At 40.6% G+C, this 25282-nt stretch overlaps 1 protein-coding gene and 1 long non-coding RNA gene across 4 annotated transcripts in view, besides 4 other annotated features; one reads left to right on the forward strand and one right to left on the reverse strand.

Annotated features, from left to right (window-relative positions):
* The first annotated feature begins 210 nt into the window (after nucleotides 1–210).
* LRRC8C (leucine rich repeat containing 8 VRAC subunit C) overlaps nucleotides 211–25282 on the forward strand; it is a 103710-nt gene continuing 78638 nt past the window's right edge. For 2 of the 3 annotated variants that reach the window (NM_032270.5, XM_047432040.1), the window contains exon 1: nucleotides 17507–17709. The gene's annotated coding sequence lies outside the window, so the exon portion shown is untranslated. Of the gene's footprint in view, nucleotides 422–17506; nucleotides 17710–25282 lie in introns of those variants that run through there. The other variant, XM_011542282.3, reaches the window with a different exon arrangement.
* Nucleotides 7317–7611: a silencer, noted in NCBI's record as "tiled region #5460; HepG2 Repressive non-DNase unmatched - State 13:Ctcf". NCBI's record gives its function as "represses a minimal TATA promoter and a strong SV40 promoter by Sharpr-MPRA in HepG2 cells {active_cell/tissue: HepG2}" and the evidence as "EXISTENCE:reporter gene assay evidence [ECO:0000049][PMID:27701403]".
* Nucleotides 9236–17281, reverse strand: LRRC8C-DT (LRRC8C divergent transcript). Its single transcript, NR_033981.1, has 3 exons — nucleotides 17044–17281; nucleotides 16403–16596; nucleotides 9236–9592 (listed from the first exon to the last, which is right to left on the reverse strand). It is a non-coding gene; the product is annotated as an LRRC8C divergent transcript (long non-coding RNA).
* Nucleotides 17309–17968: a silencer, noted in NCBI's record as "silent region_1054". NCBI's record gives its function as "represses an Ori minimal core promoter by ATAC-STARR-seq in GM12878 lymphoblastoid cells {active_cell/tissue: GM12878}" and the evidence as "EXISTENCE:reporter gene assay evidence [ECO:0000049][PMID:35858748]".
* Nucleotides 18349–18398: an enhancer, noted in NCBI's record as "active region_1297". NCBI's record gives its function as "activates an Ori minimal core promoter by ATAC-STARR-seq in GM12878 lymphoblastoid cells {active_cell/tissue: GM12878}" and the evidence as "EXISTENCE:reporter gene assay evidence [ECO:0000049][PMID:35858748]".
* Nucleotides 18429–18478: an enhancer, noted in NCBI's record as "active region_1298". NCBI's record gives its function as "activates an Ori minimal core promoter by ATAC-STARR-seq in GM12878 lymphoblastoid cells {active_cell/tissue: GM12878}" and the evidence as "EXISTENCE:reporter gene assay evidence [ECO:0000049][PMID:35858748]".

The raw sequence follows: 25282 nt of genomic DNA on the forward strand, positions 1-25282 counted from the left end.
GCCATGGGGGAAGCACACACCAAGGTTCAAGTGTAAATCCTGCTAGAAATACTGAGCTAAAACAGAACAACAATTTTGGCAGCATTGTTGACAGTCCCTGAGATGAAGGAAAGTAATTTGAGGGCATCTGCTGAAACTTTCCAGTTTTAAGACTGGCTTTCATTATTTTTCTTTCAGCTGTAGCTTTCTCAGATAATGAATGTACCATATGTCTCTATCTCCAGGTTCCCATACAAATTAGGAAACTAAATGCCAGATGATTAAAACAGTTTTCTGCTTGTTTCCATGGGAAATCAACTGCTGGGAGCCCTCAGGAAATGAGAGGAAGAATGTGTTCAGCTGAAGGTGTTTGCTAGTGAGAACATGCACTCTGCTTGCAACCCAGGTACCAGTCCACAGACTGTTCAACATTTTGGCCCAGGTGAGACACCATCCTAAGCTGCCGGCCCTGCTGGTGGCCAAGTGAGACCATGGAGATCATTGTGCCCTGTCCTACTCCCTTGTGCCTCCACCACTAGGGGGCTGGGCACTATATGCCAGGTCCTTCATGTTAGGTCCCAGCCAATGGTGCCAGGAAGATTTATTAATGACAAACAGACAGTAATGCAGGGGCCCTAGCCTCATCAACCCAGTGTGAGTTCAGCATATTTTGAGCCCACTAGCAGGTCTTCTGGAAGACAGGGGACTATCAAGGATTCTTGCTAGAAGGGTCACTTCTGGCCATCTACAACTAGACAGAGTTAATTCAGGGGCGTGGGAACAGCATTCTGTAAAACACAGCCAAGTGTGCCCGAGGCAACTGTGCCAAGGATATCTCTAGGAGGCTGTGATTATTACTTGTTCCTGCTTGCCCCAGAATTAGCTCCAATTTGCCTGAAAGAGATAACATTGAAGAAGGAGGTTGCAAAGAGATTTCATTATTGTCTTGACAGTGAAAATCTCTGATTTGTCTGGGGAAAATTGGTTCAGGAGCTGACTCTAGTCTAACTTGAGTGTCGATAAATCTCATCCCACCTCTTGCAAATTTAGGGGGAAAAGACAACCTTTCTTGGCTTTATTAAACCAGAGTGTGACTTGGGCATGCCATAAGGAGGCTCATAGATGGAAACTAGGCAGTAAAGGAGAGCATAAAGTTTAAATTTGGACTCAGACAACCCTGAATGCTAATGCTTGTTCTTTAACTTACTATGAGATCTCAGGGAATTCTGAGCCACTATGAGTGCCTACAAAGTGAGGATATGAATACCTACTCCTCAGGGAGGTTATGTCTTCATAACTTATGCTATATGTGTCTTCATAAGCTTATGTTAAATAAGCTAACGTAAGTAAAAGCATTTGTTCTGAGCCTGCTAGGCAGTGGATACTCAATGCCTTGTGCCTTCTCTTTCCTTTCCCTCTGTTGCTATGTTTTACTGCCAAAATTGGAAACAGATAGCTTACTGAGCAATAAATAGGCAGGGCCCTCCCTCTCCCATACACCACTATCACCAGTACCAGCAACTTGATTTTTCTCAGAATTACTATCTAGGATATAGACAGAGCAGAGAAATCCAAATCTTCACACATAACATACCCACTTACTTATATCTTATCATCTAGGCTTGGGTTTTTTTGCCTAGGTAGAATATTTTTCAGAGAAACTAAGTGATGAAGGACACTCATGTTGTCTTCTGCCTAAATAAACCATTAGCAGGACCCTGTGAAATTAAAACCACGGTTCACAATTCAGTCCAATTGCCTTGCCCTAAGCTAGTCAAAACTATGTTGACTCCTCCTGTCTTCAGATGATTCATGGGCATGATTCCTTAGCATGAGGCTATCCTAACATGTTCTAGGTAAGCCAGATTAGAGGAAGCAGTTTAATCATTTTGTGGTCCTGGGCAGGCCATTAGTAAATCAGTTTTTCCATTGCAGCTATGCTATACAATCATGCTCCAGTGGCTTGATCTACTTCCATGGATTCCAGTAATAGCTATTTAATACTGTCTGTGTTCTGTTTCCACCTCAACTGAATTCTGACACTAACTACCAGAATTGGCACAGATTAAGGGACAGTGTCCTTCATGAGACTGCCCTCACTTAGGATGCCAGTCATGAGTCTCAGGAGGTCCCAAGGCCACTCACACTTCTGCCCAACTGGCTTCAAATTTAATGACTCCTATGACCCTCTCAGGTTCAGTCACTCACTAGAACAACTCACAGAACTCAAGAAAGCACAGATTTGATTACAGACTTTTTATAAAGACTGTATCTCAAGATGAGCCAAATGAAGACATACATAGGGCAAGGTCAGGGAGAGACCATACAGCTTCCATACTCTCACCCCATGGACCCAACGCACACACTCTCTTGGTATAACTATATGTTCACCAATCAGGAAGCTCCCCTGAGCCTTAGAGTCCACAGTTTTTATTGGGCTTTCATTATATATATATGACTGATTAAATTATTGGTCAAATGATTAAACTCAGTCTCCAGCCCCCTTCCCCTCCTGACTAGTTGAGTTTTTAACTCAGGTCAAGCTGGCCCAAAGTTTGAGCACGCTAATCCCATGGTTGGTCTTTCTGGTAACCAGCCTCTGTCCTGAAACTACATAGGAGGCTATGGTCAGACACGTCATTTGCATAACAAAGAGACCTCTATCACTTAGGGAATGCAGAGGGTTTTAAAAGCTTTGGAGTAGGAACCAGGGAAAAAGACCAATATACTCTTTATTATACCACAGTCTCCTACTGAGATTTACAAACCATGCAGGATTCGAGTTTAAGTTTTTCCCTTTGGACAGTGGGGAGTTACTTAAAGCAAGGGGAAATTGTTATTGAGCAGCTACTCTGGGCCAGCCATTCATTTTATATGTGTTGAAAGCAGCACTTTGGGAAGATAAATCAGATGATTTCATGGAGATTGAACTGGATAAAACTAAAATGGGAAGACTGGGAAGGAGACAGTGGCCACTAGGTAGGCATAAAGTGATGAGAGCAAAACTAGAGGAGAGACGTGGAAATGCAAAGGGAGGAAAGGAAGGGGTTGAGAGATATTTTGAAGTAAGATTTCATCTTATCTAAAGTTTTGTCACCATTACAAAATACTACACAATGGTTAGAGTAGTTAAAACTGCTTGAAGAGTTAAAAGTACTTTCTAAAGATAGCCAAGTAATATAGATAAAGTGGCTCCTCTGATTTACGAGACCTTAGTATTTTATCTCAAACAAACTTCAGGACCTGTGTCTTAATTTTTGGTGGCATACTCCCATTGGTTTCTGGACAGAAATATTGACACCTCTTGTTTTCAAATGGCTGAACTGTTTCTGTTTTAAAATTAATATTGCCCAATTTTACATTTCAAACAGCCTTTTGAAGTTGGTTTGCTTTAGAGTACGAGGTCCTCCCTACTCTGTAGATCACAAATTTATGAGGGATTTGAAGAGATCTTGAGATGTATCCCTTTATAGATCATGTAAAAAAGAACACATAACACTGGTGTGTTAAAACTAGCTATTTCTTCCTGCATGCGATTTCAGTAAACAATGAAAGTCTTTTTTCAAAATTATTGGTGTGTAGCCATTTTTCTATATCAGTAACTAGGACATTGACTCATTCATATCCACAGAAGTTCTACAATATGACAGATACTTTAGATAAGAATTTCTCAAAAATACAATTTCCTGTGTTTAAATTTGGGGTGGGGGAAAGAAATGATGATTTTAGTGTATCATGGGTGATATATTAAATTGAAATAAAAATGTAGAAACATTTTAAGTTATATTAGTTTTATATTTATATAAAATTTATCAATTTTAATAAAAATAACAATTTATTTACATAAATGAATACAAATTTAAATAATCAAATAAACTTTTTATATAATAAATACATAATTATATGTATATTATATGTAATATTAATTCAGGTAATAAGTATTCATTATGTTCACTTTTTAAACATTTTATTATAACTAAGCTAACTTATAAGAAAACTGTCAATTAGTAACTCTTTACAATATAATTAAAAATTTGAAGAAAGATTCCCTTTGGCATTATACTATACATAATTAAATCAAATCAACAAATTTTAACCTCTACCATATGGAAAATAGAAAAAAATGGAAAACTTTAAAATAAGGATGCAATTAGCTGTTAAATATTAATAAAAATTAATGTTTGTCACATGCTTACAATATGTCAGGCTCTGTTCTAATATTTTATATGTATTAAATAATCTAACCCTCACAACCAGACTATAAAGTAGACACTATAATTACCCCCATTTATTTCTCAGGAAACTGAGGCTCAGAGAAGTTAAGCAGCTTATTTAGGTTCTCATAGGTATGGAAGGTAAGAGTGATGATTAATGACTATAGAGTAGTTTAGTCCCTTTGGACTGCTGTGAAAAAATACCTTAGACTGAATAATTTATAAACATTTATTGCCTTAGTTTTGGAGGCTGAGAAGTTCGGGTCAAGTCACCAGCAGATTTGGTGGCTGGTAAGGGCTTCTCTGCTTCATAGATGGTACCTTTTTGCTGTCTCTTTGCTGCATCTTCATATGGCAAAAGGGATAAGCTCCCTAAAGCCTCTATCATGAGGGCATTAATCCCATTCATGATGCTGGAAATCTCATAGCCTAATCACTTCCCAAAGGCCCCACTTCTTAATACTATCACACTGGGAATTAGGTTTCAACATATGAATTTTGAGGGGACACAAACATTCAAACCATAGGAAAGCATTTACAGAAAAGAAAGTGTGAGAAAAACTTTATGAAGATAGAATTTGAAGTGAACATTTAAAGACTGATGGAATTTGGAGAGAAAGAGAGTATAGTGATAAGGACAAAAAGGAAGTAAGAAATTAGAAGATGGTATAAAGACACATGCAAAATCAGGGAGGCAGTAAAGAACTATAAACCCATCAGAGCCATGTGCAAATTTGATTAAAGAACTGCAAAGTTCGGGAAGATGATTTTTCAAAAAAAAAAAAAAAAAAATAGGCGATTTCCTACTGGGTCTACAGAAATTCAGTCATCATATATGTTATAAAAAATGCCAATGCAGGTTTAAATCCAGGTAAATTCAAATACTTCCAGTTAAAAAATGTCAATACTTCCTTTTAGCTACTTGAGATTTCACAAGATCAGGAGATTCATACTTGCTTCTCTTAAACTTCTTAATTCACTCTAGATAACAGAAACAGAAAGTAAGTTCCACTCAACTCTGTTCTTCAGGGTCTTAACAGAAAGACAGAAAAATATCCACCAATCTTCACAAAAGTTTTTCAGCAAAGACCATGACGACTCCTCATTTTCTTGTGAAAATGGTTGCATGGGATGCTAGAAGTGAAACTTGCTTTTGCAACTGAAATGTGTATCATACTATTTGTCTTCGGTAGCCAGGACACTGAGTAGATGTAACGTTGCAGAGAATTTTGCATGAAGCCTTTTTATTGCTATTTTTTAGAAATCATTTTGGAGTTTTGAGAGGCTAGGCAGCAATCTATAAAGGTTGCTTATTAAATGATTTCCTCATCATCCTAAGAAATAATCATAAAAGAGTTTAAAAATTCCTTTTGGCCAGGCGCGGTGGCTCACGCCTGTAATCCCAACACTTTGGGAGGCCAAGGCGGGCAGATCATGAGGTCAGGAGATCGAGATCATCCTGGCTAACATGGTGAAACCCCGTCTCTACTAAAAAAAAAAAAAAAAAAAAAAATTAGCCAGGCGTGGTGGCAGGCGCCTGTAGTCCCAGCTACTCAGGAGGCTGAGGCAGGAGAATGGCGTGAACCCAGGAGGCGGAGCTTGCAGCGAGCCGAGATCGCCACTGCACTCCAGCCTGGGCGACAGAGCGAGACACCATCTCAAAAAAAAATTCCTTTCCCCTTAAAGCACTCAGAAGTCTTGCACCACTCCTCACCTCACCCTCCTTGGGAAACTGGAGAGGCTGAGCTGCCAGTCTGATCTGAGGAAAAGTATTGTGATGTGACTTGTAGCCTAGGCAGCATCACAATGTGCCCACCTGGGGAACCTGGAAATTGGGCAGTTTGGGGCTGGCAGTAATAGTCTTTATAATCATGAAAAATGGAAACATCTCCAGGTAGAGAATTAGTAACTTTTAAAATATTGTTGCTCTTTCCTCCCTCTTTGGATATAGACTTAAAGACACTCAACATCTCTTGGTATTTGTTTTAGGTTACTAAATGATTTTTCAAATGCATCTATGTTAGGAGTCTGGGATACAGCAAAACCTTATGTGAAACATTTCCAAGTGGCATAACTAGAATGTCTCCCTACTCAAAATGGGCTATACGGTATCTTTTTTTCTCAGTCAACATGGGCTGATGCATACCAATTCACCCTTAATGGTCCTGAAATATATTCACTGTAGAGAAATGAAGATCAAAAACATCGTATATGTGAAGATAATTAGGTATGAAACTCCAGATAAGCAAGACTGTTTATTTTTGTTTAGCACTCTAGGGGGAAAAAATGACATTTTCCAGCAGTTTAAAATACTGTGATGTTTTAAGATAGAAAGGGCGTGATAAGAGTGTGGGCTTTCAAGTCAAGCTGTCCGGGTTATACTCCTGGCTGTGCCACTTACTAGCAGCATGAGGCTAGGCAAGTGACATTAGCTGTATGTGCCTCAGACTCCCTATCTGTGAAATGGGAATAGTAAGATTACCTGTTATCCTGTTGTTACATGGATGAAATGAAATCATACATGTAAAATTTTTTTTTTTTTTTGAGATGGAGTCCCGCTCTGTCGCCCAGGCTGGAGTGCAGTGGCGCGATCTCGGCTCACTGCAAGCTCCGCCTCCTGGGTTCACGCCATTCTCCTGCCTCAGCCTCCCGAGTAGCTGGGACTACAGGCGCCCGCCAACACTCCTGGCTAATTTTTTTGTATTTTTAGTAGAGACGGGGTTTCACTGTGTTAGCCAGGATAGTCTCGATCTCCTGACCTTGCGATCCGCCCGCCTCGGCCTCCCAAAGTGCTGGGATTACAGGGGTGAGCCACCGCGCCTGGCCTACATGTGAAATCTTTAACATCATGCCTGACGTAGAGTAAATCCTCAGCAAATGTTAATCAGCTACCTTGTCTGTATCATTCAAATCACTGCAGCAAGTTGTCAGCCTACAACTTGCTTGTCATCTTACAAATGTGCAGACCTGGTTGCTCTTAAATCAATACTGTTATACTTTAAAGTCTCTGATAATTTTTCAATCAGAAAGTGTTTGTTTCAAAGCAAATGATCAGATATATTATTATAGAAGGTATAATTTTGAATTTTGGTTAAGCCAATAAAATGAACAATTAATATAAAATGGTATCAGATCAGATATAAATAGCTATTATCTGGAGCATTTTACAAGCTAAAGAATATTCGAGACACTTAAGAGATCAGAGATGTTTTCAGTCTCCTAAATGAGACCATAAGCTGTTTTCATGTTGTGGTTAAATGCTCCTCCTTTTGGTCACTGGAAGCAGTTCATCTTATCTGAACCCTAGTGTTTTCATTTTGGAAGCTATCAACGCAACTAACTCAGACACACACACACACACACACACACACACACATGCGCACACACACACACATTCTTTAATGTAACATGGTAATTCCTTTTCACTGAGAATTGATTTTTAAATAATTTTTCAAAATAAAATAGAATATAAAATATTGTCTCATCATTGTAATGAAATGTTATCATGCTGGACTTTAAATTAATGGTGTCTTTTCTTTGAAATTCCTTAATCAGAGTACATCACTTCTAATAGCTCTCTATTGAATCTTCCTCAGAAACAAGGATGGAAGGCTATCATAAATGCCACAAGAGAGGCTGGGCACAGTGGCTCACGCCTGTAATCCCAGCACTTTGGGAGGCTGAAGTGGGCAGATCACAAGGTCAGGAGATCAAGACCATCCTGGCTAACACAGTGAAATCCCGTCTCTACTAAAAATACAAAAAATTAGCCGGGCATGGTGGCATGTGCCTGTAGTCCCAGCTACTGGGAAGGCTGAGGCAAGAGAATTGCTTGAACCTAGGAGGCAGAGGTTACAGTGAGCCGAGATCGTGCCACTGCACTCCAGCCTGGGCAACAGAGCTAGACTCCATCTCAAAAAAAAAAGAAAAATGCCACAACAGGCCTAGAAAAGCATTCATAGGAGAGAATATTCATTAGGCCAGGAATGATTCAGAGAGGGAGGGTAGATAAGTATATCAAGTTATCCCATCAATTTCCACCTAGTAGAGAGGAAAAAGCTAGTCGTTGTAAAGAAATGTGGAGGGTCTGAAATTTTCTTATCCTTGGAAACTAAAATACTAGCCTGCTACACTTTCTGGGATGGTGGTATAAGACGTGAAAAGTCCTGGGTCAGAGACAAAAGAAAGTTTACTACTCACTTCAATAGCAGTATCCAAAGTATCAGCATTTTTATATCAGTTCCTGGAGACCCACTTCCCACAGGGAGATGCAAAGAGAGCGAGAAAGCACCTAACTCCACAGTGGATTGTGTTATAGGAGAGAAATCCTGAGCTAGGGAATATCAACCTTTTATGAGCAGTAAGTATGCTTCCCGTTTGCTTTGGAGAAAAACATTATCTTTATTATACTGGACAGTAAACATGTCTGGCTTTTGCTCCAGAGAAAGACATTATCTCTATCTTTCAAGGCTGTTCACTGTACAAATATCCTTGAACATTTATTTTGGAAGAAAGAGTACAAAAACACTAGAGACCCATAGAGAACTGTCTTCCAATAGTCACCAATAATAGACTATTCTATGTCATCTTTTTTGTGCTCAGAATATGTGCGTGTTCTATATCAGTTTCAGCTATTTCTGAAAGGATGTCATGGAACCCAGAGGCTAACAAGAGTATGTAACAGCCAGGGAACTATTCCTCAGTGTAACAGAACAAAGCTGCACTATTACCAATGAGAATGGATACTCTTTGTCCTATTAAAGATGTCAGGCACTCTATTATGACTGATGTTTGTAAGGAAAATAGCTGAAGAAAACATCTACCAAGAGGGCTTATCTTGACAGATATTCATTAAATGAGTTATAGAGCCCACAATTCCCTTCTCTTTCCAACAAGAAAAGTCTTATGAAGGCTCTGCAGTCTTTAACTCAAAAATAACAAAATATTCTATTCTAAGGAATTTTATTCTTTTGGAATGTTGATAGGTGTAATAAAGGAAATAGCTCCACGGCCAAGTGAAGTTAAAGAAATGCTAGGTTCAGCAAAGTTTAACAAGCATTTTTAATACAGGACTTATCAGAGCCCTAAGCATATTAATACGCATTGTGAATCTTCAAGGAAGATATACTACTTTCCAAACAATAGGAACCATAGATTCCTATTTCTCAGGATATCTCAAGGGGTAGAGTTCAATGGACAGCTGCTTAGAAATGCCTCATTAGAGGAACGGCTCTCTCAGTGGGATGGATGGTGGAAGACCAAGGTACTTCGGGAAGATACTGGCTGACTGGTCTGCCCTGCCTGTAGACAGAATTCCTGTAGATAGCAGCTAGCAGTGATGGATCACTTCCTGCTTCCTTGATTAAATGCTGGTGGTAATATCCATTACTGACTGAAATCTAAGGAGGATAAACATGTATAATTTTAATATCTATGTATAAAATTCTCACACCAAACAAGCCCTAAGAAGACATCTTTCCCAATCCTCTCATTTTCAAATGAGGACTGAGGATGTAAAGATATTAAGAGATTTCTCCCAAGTCACAAAGTTGGTCAATGAAAGAAATATGACTGGAATCCAGGTCTCATCAATTCCAGCTTATGTTCTTTTCACTAACAGCAAAAGTGCCATTAATACATCACTGATACTGAGAAGGGAAATCAGGCTTTGTTGTTGCTGATGTTGTTTCCTAAAGAGACAAAAATATGAGTGGATTCAGGAAACTAAGAAGCTCCAAAAATGCTAAAAAAAAATGCATCATACCTCAGGATGGGTGGTGGCTTTCACGGACAGAGCATGTGCGCATGGCTACGGCATTTCCTAAACATACAAAGCACCGTCTACAATAATTTTCCAAAGAGAGAATCATGTTTATGTGAGTAACAAGAGCATCTTCAATTTCACTACCGTGATAAGGTTTCCTGAGCCATGGATCTTCATGCCTCAAAGAGAGGACAGCTTCTCATTCAAAACAAAGAAACAATTGCTTAGGCTTAAAATTAGATGCTTCGTCAGGGCTGATGCCACTGAAATTTGAGGCAATTCAATGTTAAGTTGTGATCTGACAGGCTCTATGGCATATTGTGTATGCATAATAAAATATGGTGTTATGAAAAGACTGAAAAATTTGAGCCCTGGAAAAAAATCAGTCACATTCTTTAGGAGATATTATTAATGTATTTTTAATCAAAAAATTTCTAAACCATTTAAATGTTCCATTGTCTTTAGAATAACTCACTTCATGGGTACAGCCAGTCATTTGTAGATTTAATTAATAGGTTAACACATGCAAACTTTTTAGAACAGTAGCTGCAGGTGCCAAATACATAAAAGCAAGCAACTATTCCTTAGTAACGCAGTTATAGCAGTGATATTTAGGTGCAAAGAAGTCACTCCTGACAATACAAAACTTTTTACTTTAAACTTACACTACATATGTATATAGCAAAAAACTCCTATATGCTACTACTCACATCAATACTTTTAGCCACCAAATGTGTGGGTTTCTCCTCACAATAATTCAGTTCTCCAATGGACACTGACTGGTATCCTATAATTTAACTCAGTTCTGATATTACCTGAAGATAGCATTAGACCCCACAGGCTAAGGGCTCAGTCCCACAAGACTGCTTCCCCATCCCCCAATTTCACACGCCAATCATAAGTGGCAGGTTCCCATGTTATATTAGGATATATACCACTTTTGTCCAACTTGTCTACAAATCAAAGGTTCCCATAACTCCTCCTCAGGTTTAATCATTTACTAGAATGGCCTACAGAGCTAGGAAAAGTTTGCTTTCTAGATTACTAGTTTATTACAAAGGATATATTAAAAGATGCAAATAAATAGCCAGATGAAGAGATATATAGGGTAAGATCCAGGGTCTTGAGTATAGAAGGGTCTTGAGTATAGAAGCTTCTGTATCAGTGGAGTTTTGGGGTACACCTACCCCTACAGCAGGTGAATGTGTTCTTGTTCATCAACATGGAAGGTCTCTGAACTCCATCCTTTTTGGTTTCTATAAAGGCATCATTACATAGGCCCGATTGATTAAATCATTAGCGTTGGTAATTAAGTCAGTTTCCAGTTCCTCTACACTCCCAAAAGGTCAAAGGTCCAGGTGGGGCTGAAAATTCCAACCCTCTAGTCTAGACACACACACACACACACACACACACACACACACACACACACACACACGTTTAAGTTTCCATAGCAACCAGCTCCCATCCTGCAGTTATCTAGGGGCTTTCCAAAAATTGCTTCATTAACATAAACCCAGGTGTGGTTGAAGAAGACATCTTATGAGTAATAAAAGACACTTTTTTCACCTTTATCTGGAGCTATTTCAGGAACTAAAGACAAAACCCAAATATAATCAAAAATGATCCTATAGCTCTAATCACTGAGGAAATTACAAGAGTTTTAGAAGCTGTAAGCCAGGAACCATAGACAATGACCAATATATATATATATTTCTTATTATATCATAATATAATAATATTTCTCATGTGAAAGTTACTTATCTATCGACCCATCTGAACAATAATTCTAAGAATGAGACTCTCTGTCTGGTTATAGTTCATGTTGCCTTAACTCGGAGCTACGGACACATTATGATCTTTGATTAAGAAGTTTGCTTTCAGTTGTAAAGTGCTTTTCAATTAAAGAGTAAGCTGTAAAACCAGCTCATGAAGGCACATATGGGATATGAGTACACTAGTGGAAAAAGCACAAATCAATGCAATTTTGAAATACTGAAAAAGTACATTATTAACCTTACTGAAATAACTGATGGGTTCCATTTAAAAATAAATACTCCTTTCCTATAGGATTAAGTAGTGAGTAAGCATGAGAACCCTGAAATTGACTTGCCTAGGCCCAAATCCCAACTCTTCTACTCACTGATTATGTGACCTTCAGCTAGCTACTGGATTACAATGGGCCTCTGTTTTCTCATCTGTCAATATGAGAAAATAATACTGCCTGTGTAATGGATAGCTATGGTGAATAAATGAGACAATGCATATAAAGCTAGCACACATTGAGCATCCCAAATCTGAGGTGCTCCAAATTTTCTGAACACTGACATAAGGCTTATAGGAAATTCTCATTGGAGCATTTTAGACTTTTGAATTTGGTATGCTCAACTGGTAAGTATAGTGCAAATATTCAAAATCTGAAATCCAGAACACTTCTGGTCCCAAGGAATTTGGGTAACAGATATTCAACCTGCATTTAGCACATAATGTGTACCTCATAAGTGTTTATTCTTTACTATTTCCAAAGAAAATTTCACAAGTTAGTGGGATCAAACAATTCTGTCTTGGGGTGGTAAAATAAATAAGGTTTGTTTTAGAAGAATCTGATTCAAAGTTTTATAGAATCCTATTTTTAGGTCCTTGGTACTGTAGGGAGCAAAAAGGGGTGATTCCTTTCCTTCCTATCATAACAGTTGACACCTCTCTAACAAAGGCAAATTAACAAGAGAAAAGCATAACAAATTTATTTGATCGTAGTTTTGTGTGACACAGGAGCCTTCAGAATGAAGACCCCAAGATATAGGGGCAACTATTCCTTTATTATTATTTTTATTTTTGATTTAGGGTCTCACTCTGTAGATCAGGCTGGAGTGCAATGTCCTGATCATAGCTCACTGTAACCTGTAACTTCTGGGCCCAAGTGATGTTGCACCTCGGCCTCCCAGAATGCTGGGGTTATAGGTATGAGCCACCTTCTCTTGGCCCATTTTTATGCTTGGGTTCAATGAAGTATGGAAAGCTGTGTAGAAATATGATTGGACAAAAGGGGTATGATCCAGCAAGGGGAATGGGGAAATCCAGCAAGGCCTGTCTGTTCAGATTTCTTCTTGGCCTTTCGATATAACATTCCTTCCTCCCAGGTATGGGGTAGGACCCCCTGGAATGAGGGTCTTAATTTCTTTATGGCCAGCAGTTAGCAAGAAAGAGAAAGGGAAGGGAGGGAGAAGATTAGAGTAAAATGTTTAGGCTCTAAGGCTGGTTTTGGGGAAAAGGTTCTGGTTTATATGACCCACCTCAGGGAAGAAGGATTCCAGTTTCTATGGCTTGCTTCAAGGGAGAATAAGAGAGTGAGAGACAGGAGGGCAGGAGAAAGCTAGACAGAGACTTTGCTTCTGAGGCTGCTTTTTATTCCTTCATTTTGGGGTATCATTTTTAGCCCCAATAGACCACCATCTCCTCTGGTACAAATTCAACTGCCATTTTGGGATCAAGTCCACATTTGACATTACCTCTCAGGCAACTTTCTGGGCAAAAGAATTTTCTAGGGAAGGTTTTATTTTTCCCTGTCTAGCATTTTTAATGGCACAGAGTCAAGGATTTCAAAACTGTTGCTAAAGGTAGCATTTATCTTGCAGGTATTAATTCAGAAAGTGCTAATGGTTGCAACAGTCTAAACAACTGAAACTTAAAACAACAACGTTTTCTTTTAGCTCAGCCTCTTCCCACAAAGCTCAGAAATGGTATGGGGAGCAGATGTGCACAGGGTGGATAGAGAATGCAGCGTAAAATCCTGCTGGTGGTTTTGGTTTAGAATGTAGATTTTACTTGCACTCTTACCAGGTAGGATCAACTGAAATCAAATGCAAAACAAAACAAGAATAGCAGGTTGATCTGAAAGAACAATCCCAGCATTGACATCATCAAGGTTTAAGCAGATACATATACATAATACATAAATTTAGTATGAATTATTTATGAGCTAAAGGGTTCAGGTTTTAGAGCCTGTAGTATAATAAGAGTTATACTGAAAGTCAGAACCAATACAAGAAACTGAAACACTTAAAAACTCATTATTTCAATATTTAATATCAGGTCCTGTGCAGGGTATTGATAATGGACATAAAAGTGAATCAAGATACAGCCCTGCCCTGGAGAGGCTCCCAGACTCTGTAGTGAAGAGGCATGTAAAGAGACAAATGAGAGCATGCCATGGTAAGTGCTGTGGTCACACAAGGAAGGAAGAGTTATACTTGCCTAGAACCTGTGGAGGCTTCATAGAGAAGGTGACTTTTAAATTATGCCTTCAGGCCAGGCGTGGTGGCTCATGCCTATAATCCCAGCACTTTGGGAGGCCAAGGCGGGTGGATCACCTGAGGTCAGGAGTTTGAGACCAGCCTGGCCAACATGGTGAAAACCCATCTCTACTAAAAAAAATAAATAAATACAAAAATTAGCTGGGCGTGGTGGCGGGCACCTGTAATCCCAGCTAGTCAGGAGGATGAGGCAAGGAGAATTGCTTGAACCTGGAAGGCGGAAGTTGCAGTCAGCGAGATCACACAGCATGAGACTCTGTCTCAGAAAAAATTAATTAATTACGCCTTCAAGGAACAACTCAGCCCAGCCTGAGTTTTCTTACAGCTAACAACAAAACAACAATGTGACACAATTGCTGTTACCATACAACCCACTAGAGGGGTTACAGATATTCTAAGTCTCACCACAACCCTAAAAGGTAGTTATATTCCAATAGACTGATGAGGAAACTGAAGTTCATAGCTAGAGATACAAGATTTAAGCCCAGACCTATTTCATTCCAAATCCCTTACCATAGCCCTGCATAGCCCAGAAATATCTACTTCTGCTTCTATCACCAACCTGTACATGGTTAACTTGTAATTACACAGTCTTTAGTGTGAGAACTACTAACTCTGGAAGTCCAATTAGAATGTCAAAATTTAGCCTAAAGAATTGGGTATAAAGTGAAAGGTCAAGACAGAGTCTGTGCACCCAGTTCATCTAGCTCACAGTACCCTCTCCTTCCTGGAGATGTGCTGAACTTCAAGCACATTTGCTTCAAAATGGTTTATTCTGGTTTGTGTGTATGCATGATTCCCATGAACTATGAACACCCTGAAGTCGGAGAATAAGCCTTGTACTTCTTTAAGACCCTCACTCAAGTTGACTGATTGCTAATTCTACCAGTCCTTTACAGAGAGCTTGCTAAGTGTGGATGTTAATGTGAATTAGGTGGACTGAGGTAAGATCACTAGATTTAAGGTTTACATGCTACAAAATAAGAAGAGGTGAACTAACCAGTGTAGCATAGTTTTTAGACTAGTGGCTTTCAAGCATTAATGTGCATGTGAATCACCTGCCTACACGTGAAGAACTACCCAGTTGATCCAATTAGAAGGCAGACACAAGAGTAGCCAAAAGTATTGCAATAAAGCAACTTGGGGTGGACTCAACTTGCAGGGGATTCAGATCCCAGGTTTCCAAACCTTTTTGCTATTCCTGGTTCTTTTGCTTTCAGTGAAGAGTAGTTAAGTACAATAGTAGCTCTCATTTACTGACTACTTACAAAGTGATTGGCACTGTTCTTGGTGCTTTGAGCATATTAGCTAATTCTCACAGCACCCTGTAGTACTATACCTATAGGGATGATAAGGGGATGTGGGTGGTGGGGAGGGGGCAGATAAAAAGAACAGTAAATTTCCTAAGTTTAAACTGGAAGAATAGGGATTTCATCCTGGTTCACCTGAGTACAAAGTCTAAGGTTCAATGATTCCTTGACACTGGGTAGCAAGGGAGCATTTCAGGGATGCCTAAGCTTGTGGTCAGGTGCCAACGGTACAAAGATAGAAGTATATCAGAGAGCCCTTGCAGAATAAGGCCCTCCACAGGAGGGTTGTGACCTTGGTACTTGCCTCACTGTGTTTAAATTCAGGTAAGGTAAGAGAATTGAAGAGGTAAAGCTACCTTAGAGAGTATTGCTGCATCTACCCTGGTGACTTACAAGGTACTTGAATTTTTTTTTTTCTAGCAAACTGCTAAAGTTAGCCTTTGCCTTTTTCCCAGAGACTCTCTAGGAATTTTTCCCATCTGCTGACTAGGAGGTAAGCCCGGACCTAAATTTTTGTCTTGTTGTAGGTTAATTAAGACTGGTGTTAGATTCAGCTCCTAAGGCCTAAGAGAATTTAAGGTTGTCTTCTGGGAAGGACACCCAACAGCAGCATTGGAATTGGAAAAAAAGTGTAGGATTTTGCTGAGTGAGCAGGGGGAAAGCAATGTAAAGCCCAAGAGAATATCTTTTGAACAAACGTCCTTTTCATTTTGGTTTAGAAATAGAAACGTGGTAAAAGGAGGCGACTGTTTTCTGAAGGCTTGTAGCACGAAAACAGGCCAACTGGCCAGCAACTAGTTGTCTATCAGTTTCTCTACTCACATACATCTGCCTTTTCCAGACTGCCAGCGCGGAGCACTAGTTTGACTTTGGGTGCTCTTCAAATAGCTGGCATTGATAAGGCATTCCCAGAAGACTGTGTTACTTAGTAATCTTGTCGGTACATTTTTTCACTGGGCAGAGATTTTCCAAACAGAGAGCTGCCAGCTTTCAAGACGTCAGAGTGCTTTTTCATCCTGAAATTGGGTGGGAAAATGGGGAGAAGAAAAGCACGGTTCAGATCAATCAATGAGAGAGAACCCCTCCCTCCATACTCGTTAAACAACAGGTGGTTTTGCTGTGCACCGTCAACTCCTTTATGCGGGAGCTGTAGGCGGGGCATTCCAACTGAGTCTCCCTGGAATCTGCCCCTTAGCCCGTATTGCAGGGGCGGTGCAGTTGGGGATTCCGGCCTGAAAGGAGACTTGGTTGTCAAGGGGCTCAAGGGCTTCATGATCCAAGGATATTGGGTTTTGCTTTTCTCCTTCTCCATCTTCCTCATTCTATCCCACCGTCCCCTCCCCACCCTTCTCTTAGGAGGCCTTCGCTTCTCCTGTGGAGGGGTTATCTTCATCCTGACCCTGGCCTTCGGAGGAGTTCCCAGAAGGGCTATTTTTAGTGGTGGCTGCTCCCCTCTAACTTACCCAGGGGAGGAGCTGCGGTGGCTGAGCCGACGCTGCGCGCACAGCCGCCTGTGGTTTTCCGCGCATTGTGAGGGATGAGGGGTGGAGGTGGTATTAGACGCAGCCGAATCCTCCCTCAGAGTCCGCCAGGTGGGCGTCTCAGGGGTGGGAGTGGCCGCGTCGTGAAGCGGAGAGAGGATTTCTCTCCTGGTCCTGGAGAAGGCCCCCGGCGGCCGGCGGCATCCCTCGCTGGCGAGTCCCGGGAGCGAGGTGGTCTCTGCAGGGGAGGAAGTTCCCGGGCGGCGCGGCCTGCGTCACAGCGGGGCTGGCACCGCGGAGTCGACTCGGCGGGCGGTGGCGACCCCGGGGCCGGGCGCTGGGCGGCGCTGGCTGCCGCTAGCCGGGCTGCGTGCGGGGCGGCGCTGGAGGCGGCTCCGTCCGCGGCCGGGGAGGCGGAGGGGAGGAGGGCTTGCGGGGCTGGGGCGTTAGCTGCGTCCCGGCTGGAAGCCCGCGAAGAGAAGTAGGAGGAAGGCGCCGCCGTGGCCGCGGCCGCAGTGCTCGGGCGCGACAAGCCATGAGCAGCGACCCCGCGGGCGACGCCGCCGTCCCTGGCAGCCGCTGAGCCCGACCCCCAGGCAGCTCGCCGCTCCCTAGCACCTTCTCCAGTCGACACTCTCGCGCCCGGAGGTAAGGGCGGGGGATCCGCGGAGGGATGGAGAGGGGCAGCCCGCAGAGGGCCACCCGCTCGGTCCGCTGTGCGCGCCGGACCGGGACTCGCCCCGCCTCACTCGCGTCCTTGCTTCCCCCCGGCTCTCAGACAGGCAGAATGTGGTTGCCCGCCCGGCGTGTGGTGCTGGGAACCTTCCGCTACTGCGGCTCAGGAGCCCGCCAACCCCTACCCCACCCAATCCGCGCTAGCCCGAGCGGCCGCGCGAGGATCTCAGCCTGGCGCCCAACGCCGCGCCGCAGCGGCAGGTCCTGCAGACTGGGCGCGGGGGTGGGGGGGCGGTCCGCGAGGGGAAATGCGTCCGTGGCCGGGGCGATCGTTGTTCTTTCCTACCTCGAAAATCTCTGAGACCCCGGGGCCAGTCCTTTCCGGTCTATCACCCCCCTGCCACCTCCGAACCCTTGAAGTTAGCACTTTTGGGCAGGGAAAGGAATTGGAAGGTTTCTCGAAGAAACGTGAGAGCACCGTGTGCTCACCTGCAGGACAGGAGGGAAGGGGTTCAGCTTGATCGGGCGGGCCCCAGAAGCCAGGTGTTTAGGCCAGCGGTTGAGGCCAAAACCGCTGCCTTCATCCCACGCCTAGGCTCGCTGATCTTTCCCTTTCCAGCTGGTTCCCACCAATGAGATGATTAGGGATGGAGTTAGCAACTCAGGAGCCTTAGATGTGTTCTGTGGACACGAATGCCTTTCTTTTCTCCCTCAGCCGGTTCTTCCCTCCCCAACCCCCACGCCTGCCCGGTATACAGCAAAGTCCAAACAGTTTCTTCCAAACCTCGCATCCTCCGTAGTTTTGCAACAGCCGGACACCTAGCCCGCATCCTAATGCGGATATTTCAGAGTATTACGGCTAAACTTCCCTTGGTTTCAAATTCCTTAAACATGTTAAAGCCTCAGCAAACGTTAGGAAACATTTTCAGGTTCCCATCCTCAAAGTAAAAAATAAGAACCAATCCATCTTTGTTGGAGTGCCGGTGTTTGGCACGGGGAGGCTTGAATTACCTCCATTTAAAGCAGCCTTTGAAGGAAGGAATAGGTAAAGGAAATCGCAGCCGTTTGTAAGTCACATACTTCTTTCGCGGTAGTGTGAGAAACGTAGCCTTAACCAACAGTCACATTTCCCGACAGGTATGTGATGGTTTCCCAAAGCATCGATGAGGCTTCAGCGTGGGCAGGTCATTAAGATGCCATTTAGACGAAAAAGGAGTAAAAGTGGAGTAGTCCTCTTGGTTAGCACAATGCTGCAAAATCGCCAGAGCCAATAATTTTTATACATTTATAAATTCTGTTTATTTTTAAATAATTTGTTGAAAACCCAAAACGTAATCTGAGCTGCATAAAACTCGCTCAATTCATAAACAATGTGTTGAGTGTGTAAACAAACATTAAATGTATACAGCTCTAGTCTAGGATATTTGCATTTCTTGTGACTTGCTTTAACAGGGAAGGCCAAGGCTATAATTGGTTTGCTTTACTCTGGAGTGATTAAGTTCTGTCTTGGGGTCAGTTTGTTTCCTTTGAGGGGGATGTAGGGCAGTTTTGCAAAGATGGATATTTGCCATGGTTCACATAATAGATTGGGCACAGACAGGACCCATCAACCCAACAATTGTATCAGAGATACCAAGTATATTTAACAATTTTCTTATTAATAAAATCAAGCCTTTATTAATAGTACTAATCTATTATTTCTCAGATTAAGCACTTTAATGAAATGTATTTTTAAAAGGGAATGCTTTTAGTGAAAATAATGCATTAGGAGCTGTAAGATAAATGAATGAAAATGTTGCACTTTATTTCCATGAAGTTTATCTTTTAAAAAACAATACAAAGTTAGAAATATGTTTAACTCCCAAGTGTTCAATTTTTACCAAATTGTTATGATTTTTAATACTCTATAGTATTATTAAGTTATAGTCACCTATGACATTATAATAGAGCGAGCCTAAGTTTAAAATGAAATGAGGTGGAAACTATATTTATTTTGCCAAGAATTGTGTTAATGATTTAATATGGTACATTGCTATAACATAATCTAGCTGCATGCTAGATACCTAATACACATTATCTCAGGTTCTTACAATGAACCCCTAAGGTAAATGGTGCCATCCACATTTTACATAAGAAGGAAGTTCAGAGTTTCTGATTTGGCTGAAGACTATGCAGCTAAGTTAGTGCCTGAATGAAGCCAAGCCTCCTTAGTCTTAATGATATACTTTTTTTTATTATCCAAAGCTGCTTATTTATTTTTTCTATATAAATTTGTTGTTAACTCACCATAGTGACTATATGAGGAAACAGAGATTGTAAAGTTTTCTGCCCAGCGTTTTCCATATAACAGAATTCCAATTTTGAATCAAGGCCATCTGTTTCTAAAACCCATGTTCTTGCCACTGATTTCTCTTAAATGACTGATCCAGAGCTTAACCTTATGGACAATTTACTCCTGCCCATCAGCTATTATCACTGACATGACAATGATGGTCTCATGGGCTGTAACACACTCCCAAGATTTTATACTTCATTTCTGGAGTGTTGACTGTATCTCCAGTTTCAGATCACTCATAAAAGCATATTACAACTAATGAGGGTTACATAACCATGGAGGTATCCTTGAATCTACTTGATTCCTTTTGAACTATAAATCATTCTGGTTTGGCATGGGGTAAAGAGAATGGCCTCCAGAAAAAGCTGCTGTCAAATTCGGACTCTGCCGTGCAGTAGGAGTGCAAATGAGGTCAGATTATTCAACTTCTTTGAACCCTGGTTTCCTCTTGTATAATGGGATTAATAAAGCCTCCCTAGCTGGATCACTGTGCAGATTACTTGTAATAGTGCATGTAAAGGACAGCTCTTGTCACCTAGTAGGTGCTCAGTAAGGATTAACACCAGTGTATCCTAGCACTGGTAGAAACTTCTGCTGTATTTCACTTTATGTATATTTTACATGCACGTAGTGATTAGTCATTGCTATCAGTGATTCACTCTTTATGTAATTATACAAAGGTCTAATCTGATTCTTAGCATCTTTAACTTTTGAATCACATCCTTTTTTGTTGTCTTGAGTCAGAAACATGTACTCATTCTATAGTTTTTCCTTTGCTCTTACTCTTTTATTTTATTTTTACTTTACTAACAATATGTTGATGGATCGGAATTTGTATTTTTTGGCAAACATACTTTCCTTTTTTCTGCCTCTCCTGATCTCTTAGCCTTGTATATCACTCAGGGTACCATGACAATGCCAGTCTCTCCCCACCACACACCTCACCCTTGACCAAGCCTCCACCAGCTGAAATTCTGCATCTCCTACAAGGCTCAGCATAAAAGCTACCTCCTTCATGAGCCTGCCTGTTTCCCTCCAGATCCTTGTCAGTTCACTTATAATTCAGACAACACGTACCCCTCCAAAAGTGCTGAGATTACAGGCATGAGGCACAGCACCCGGCCCACTCCTAATGCTATTTTAAAATTTTTTTAAAATTCTTATTTTTCCAGGTAATATATTTGAAAGACTATAAACTCTTTGACGTCAGGGATTTTTAAAAAATTTCTTTATATTTTTGCTTGGGATAATACACAGATGGTTTCTATTTCCTGAATGAGAGACAAATCGGATATTCTGAGATCCTTACAATAATTAGGAAAGACACCCAAATTGTTGGTGGCACCTTCTTTGTTATCTTGAGACTTGTTCAACCGAGGCTTCTCGACTGGTTTAACTGGTATTACATTTGCTGGAAAGCTGTCATTCTTAAACAAAGCCTTGGACATTAGGTACCATGTAAGATAGCTATGTTTCATTAATAAATTGCTTCCATGGTGATATAGTAACCTCATTAGGTTGCAAATATACCGAGCATGTCAACCGTATTTGAGTAGTTTGGTAGTTTAGATGGGTAATGGTTCAAATGTATTCTTTAATAATAGAATTTACTAGAGAGGAAGGAACACCTACCTCAGAGAAGAGGTTGAGATAATGAGCAAGGAGGATTTCAGACTGCTTTCGTTGAAAATAAAACTCATCATGGCACAGTGTGGAGGCTACAACCAGAAGTGGACTTCAGAGAGAGAATTAGCACAAGCAGAAGACCCACTATAAATATGACTCACTATAAATATGAGGGGTAGAAAAATAAAATGGAAGAGGTAAAATAAAGGAAGCATAACTATAATACCTTATGACTGAGGCCTGCTAGATATTGGTCATTCTTGGACTGTAAAAGTAGGAAAGAGACTGTGGGGTCAAGATGGGCAAGAAAGAGAAACTAATGTCACCTTGGACATCTAGCACAGCAATAGACTTCCACTTGGTCCAGGGCCAGCACAGAGCAACAAGAGTGTAATCTCAGAACTTTGTTTGAAATACATAGTTTGGCAGGAATATATTGAAAATTTCCTAATGATTACAAGATAGAAAATGTCTAAGCTCTTTTCCAATAGCAGGCATAAGACAAACAAAACCTTAGACTCTCTACTTAGGAGTGTAACATACCATCACAAATTTGAGGAGTGAATTTAGGATCATTTTCTGGTATTCGATGGGTGTTCTTTTAAAATACGGTTCTAAGTCTAAGTCTAACATTCGGTGTATCTAACCGAATGTTAATTGATGGAGACAAGGTGATACGGGTTCAGAAAATAGAATTCAGAAAAGAAAAGGAAGAATTGGCAAAATTCAGAAATCAATTTTAAGAAAAATGTTAAAGCTTAGGGAAGTAACTGAAAATGTTCCAGATGACCAAAGTATTTTGAGTCAAAGAAATCCAGGAGAGCTATATGTTCTTTAAAGAACCTTTCTAAGGACTCAGGAGAATAAAAGCTCTTTCCATACCAGAAGAGGTTGTGAAGGTAAAACAAGAAGGAAATTAGTTTGTCTAAAACAAAAATCCATCCAAGGGCCGGAAACACTAGAGAGAACACAGTGGAGCTAATTTCATTTCTCAACCTTTTTTTGATTATTAACCTCAATCTGTGAACCTTTTTTCCATAAATTGTAATAACACAGATACACTGTGTATCTGTTTATGTACTGTGACTCTTCAGTGGATCACAAACCATTATTTAAGGTTTTGTTACCCCGCCTTCACCTCAATCAATTTTTCCTAGGGGCAAGATTGTCCCCCGCTTGAGAACACATGGTGTAGCATGATTCTATATCATGTTTAAAATCACAAAAGTGCCATATAAAACTTAAAGACATGAAAAATAGTCAACATATCTATAAATTTTTGTATGAATATATACAATACCTTAATTTACACATCCTCTGGAATTAAATTACTTTTTTTGCAAATAAAACATACTTTATTGACCCTTCAGCTGAAACTTACATGTAAAAATGTAAGGTTTCTAGTCCCAATTTTACATTGACAAAATTATTAAATTCATAAAGTTGTCTCTCAAAAGCCTCCCCTACCTGTATCCTTTTATTTCCTGGAAGGGAAGCCCTCCGCAAACTTCAGACATTCAACATCCTTTATATATTTCTGTTATGCTGGAATGCTGTGGTATTATTCATTCTTTTGACTAATCAATTGTATGAGTATAAATTGGTATGTCTCTATTAGAGAATTTATGTTTTAAACTATAATTTTTTATTTTACTTATTATTTTATTTTATTTTATTTTATTTTATTTGAGACAGAGTTTTACTCTGTCTCTGTCTCCAGGCTGGAGTGCAGTGACGCGATCTTGGCTCACTGCAACCTCTGCCTCCTGGGTCCAGGCGATTCTCCTGCCTCAGCCTCTGGAGTAGCTGGGACTACAGGCACAAGCCACCACGTCTGGCTAATTTTTTGTCTTTTTAGTAGAGATAGGGTTTCACCATGTTGGCCAGGATGGTCTCGATCTCTTGATGTCATGATCCACCTGCCTCAGCCTCCCCAAGTACTGGGATTACAGGCGTGAGCCACCACGCCTGGCCTACTTATTTATAATTATGAAACACTGCGTTCCATAACTAAGAGATTTCAGTTCACAACAAGTAGATCTGGGAGGAGGAGAGGGCCTCTGAAGAAATTCTTGGCTTTCTCATGTTTAGTGCCTTGCTTGGGTTCTTTAGGTAGCATGAGCCTATCATGGCAGCTGTGAGGACTAGAGGAGCTTGTCTCCTTTATATATTGGCTGCTTTCAGCATCTGGAGCCTGGCATGCTCCCTTCCCCCCCAACAACTCATCCCTCATCTCCTCCAGCTTTTATTTAAACCATATTCTTTTCCTTTACCCTCAAACCTCCAGAAATATATTTGTTTTTCCACATATTTTCTCTGTTTGATTTTTGGAGCTACACTGAAACTGCCACAAGGGCAGAGGCCATATCTGTCTTGTTCACTGCCATATATCTACAGCACTTGCAAAGTGTCTGGGGCATAGCTGCTCAATAAATAATCATGTTATAAATATTTAATGACATAATTTACAGTAACATTTCTTACCTATTTGGAGTATATCCATTGTCTTTTCTACTATTTTAGATTCTGATGATGAAATTTGAAAGTATACTTAGAAGTCATACTTCTTAATAGGGACATTAAGAGACATGTAAATATTTCTATATGTGATTGAAAAGCAGGAGAAAGTATATAAATAATTATAAATTAGGAGTAAGCATATAAAACATGAGTTAAGACATCAAAGTAAATCCTAGGTAACAGTCACTAAATAAACTAAAAATGTGAAAACTCATACATCTTGTCAGTTCTCCTTATGTATTTTTCTTTTTTGAGATGGAATCTTGCTGTGTTGCCCAGGCTAGAGTTCAGTGGCACAATCTTAGCTCACTGCAACCGCTGCCTCCTGGGTTCAAGTGATTCTCCTGCCTCAGCCTCCCAAGTAGCTGGGATTACAGGCGCCTGCCGCCGCACCCAGCCAATTTTTGTATTTTTAGTAGAGACACGGTTTCACCATCTTGGCCAGGCTAAGCTTGAACTCCTGACCCCATGATCCACCCACCTCAGCTTCCCAAAGTGCTGGGATTACAGGCATGAGCCACTGCACCCAGCCTCTCCTTATGTATTTTAAGAACTTATCAAAATCAACAAAAATTACTAACTAGTCTTTTTCAAATATCTTAGAGATTTATGAAAACTAGAAACTGGCTCAAATATCTTTTTAATATGAAAGATATATCCTATAAATGTAACTTCTGGGAAAATACTGTAGAGAAATTACTATGAGAATGGCTTCATTAGCAAAACATTGTCAGGCTAATTTATATTATCTCTTGATATTAGCAAGGTTCAGTATAATATGCTTATCAGTAAAGTTAGGAGATACTGTCCAGCACACATAACTTTCTAGTTAGTGCACTGCTATGTGGACAACTGTGACCAGAAAGTGATTATCAACTGAGGAAGTAGCAGCTGGAGGTATGTCCAGGGTTTGGATCTGAGTTGGGTGTTTTAGAATTTTATCTGAGGATCTGGATGGCATAATAGAAAACATGCAGGTGATATTTATATAAGTGACTTTGTGGTGTATAGAGTGCCTTGATTTTGAAGCAAGAATTTGAAAAGAGTTTGGCAAAATAAAATATA

Source organism: Homo sapiens, chromosome 1 (genome assembly GCF_000001405.40).
Source record: "Homo sapiens chromosome 1, GRCh38.p14 Primary Assembly".
NCBI lineage: Eukaryota > Metazoa > Chordata > Mammalia > Primates > Hominidae > Homo > Homo sapiens.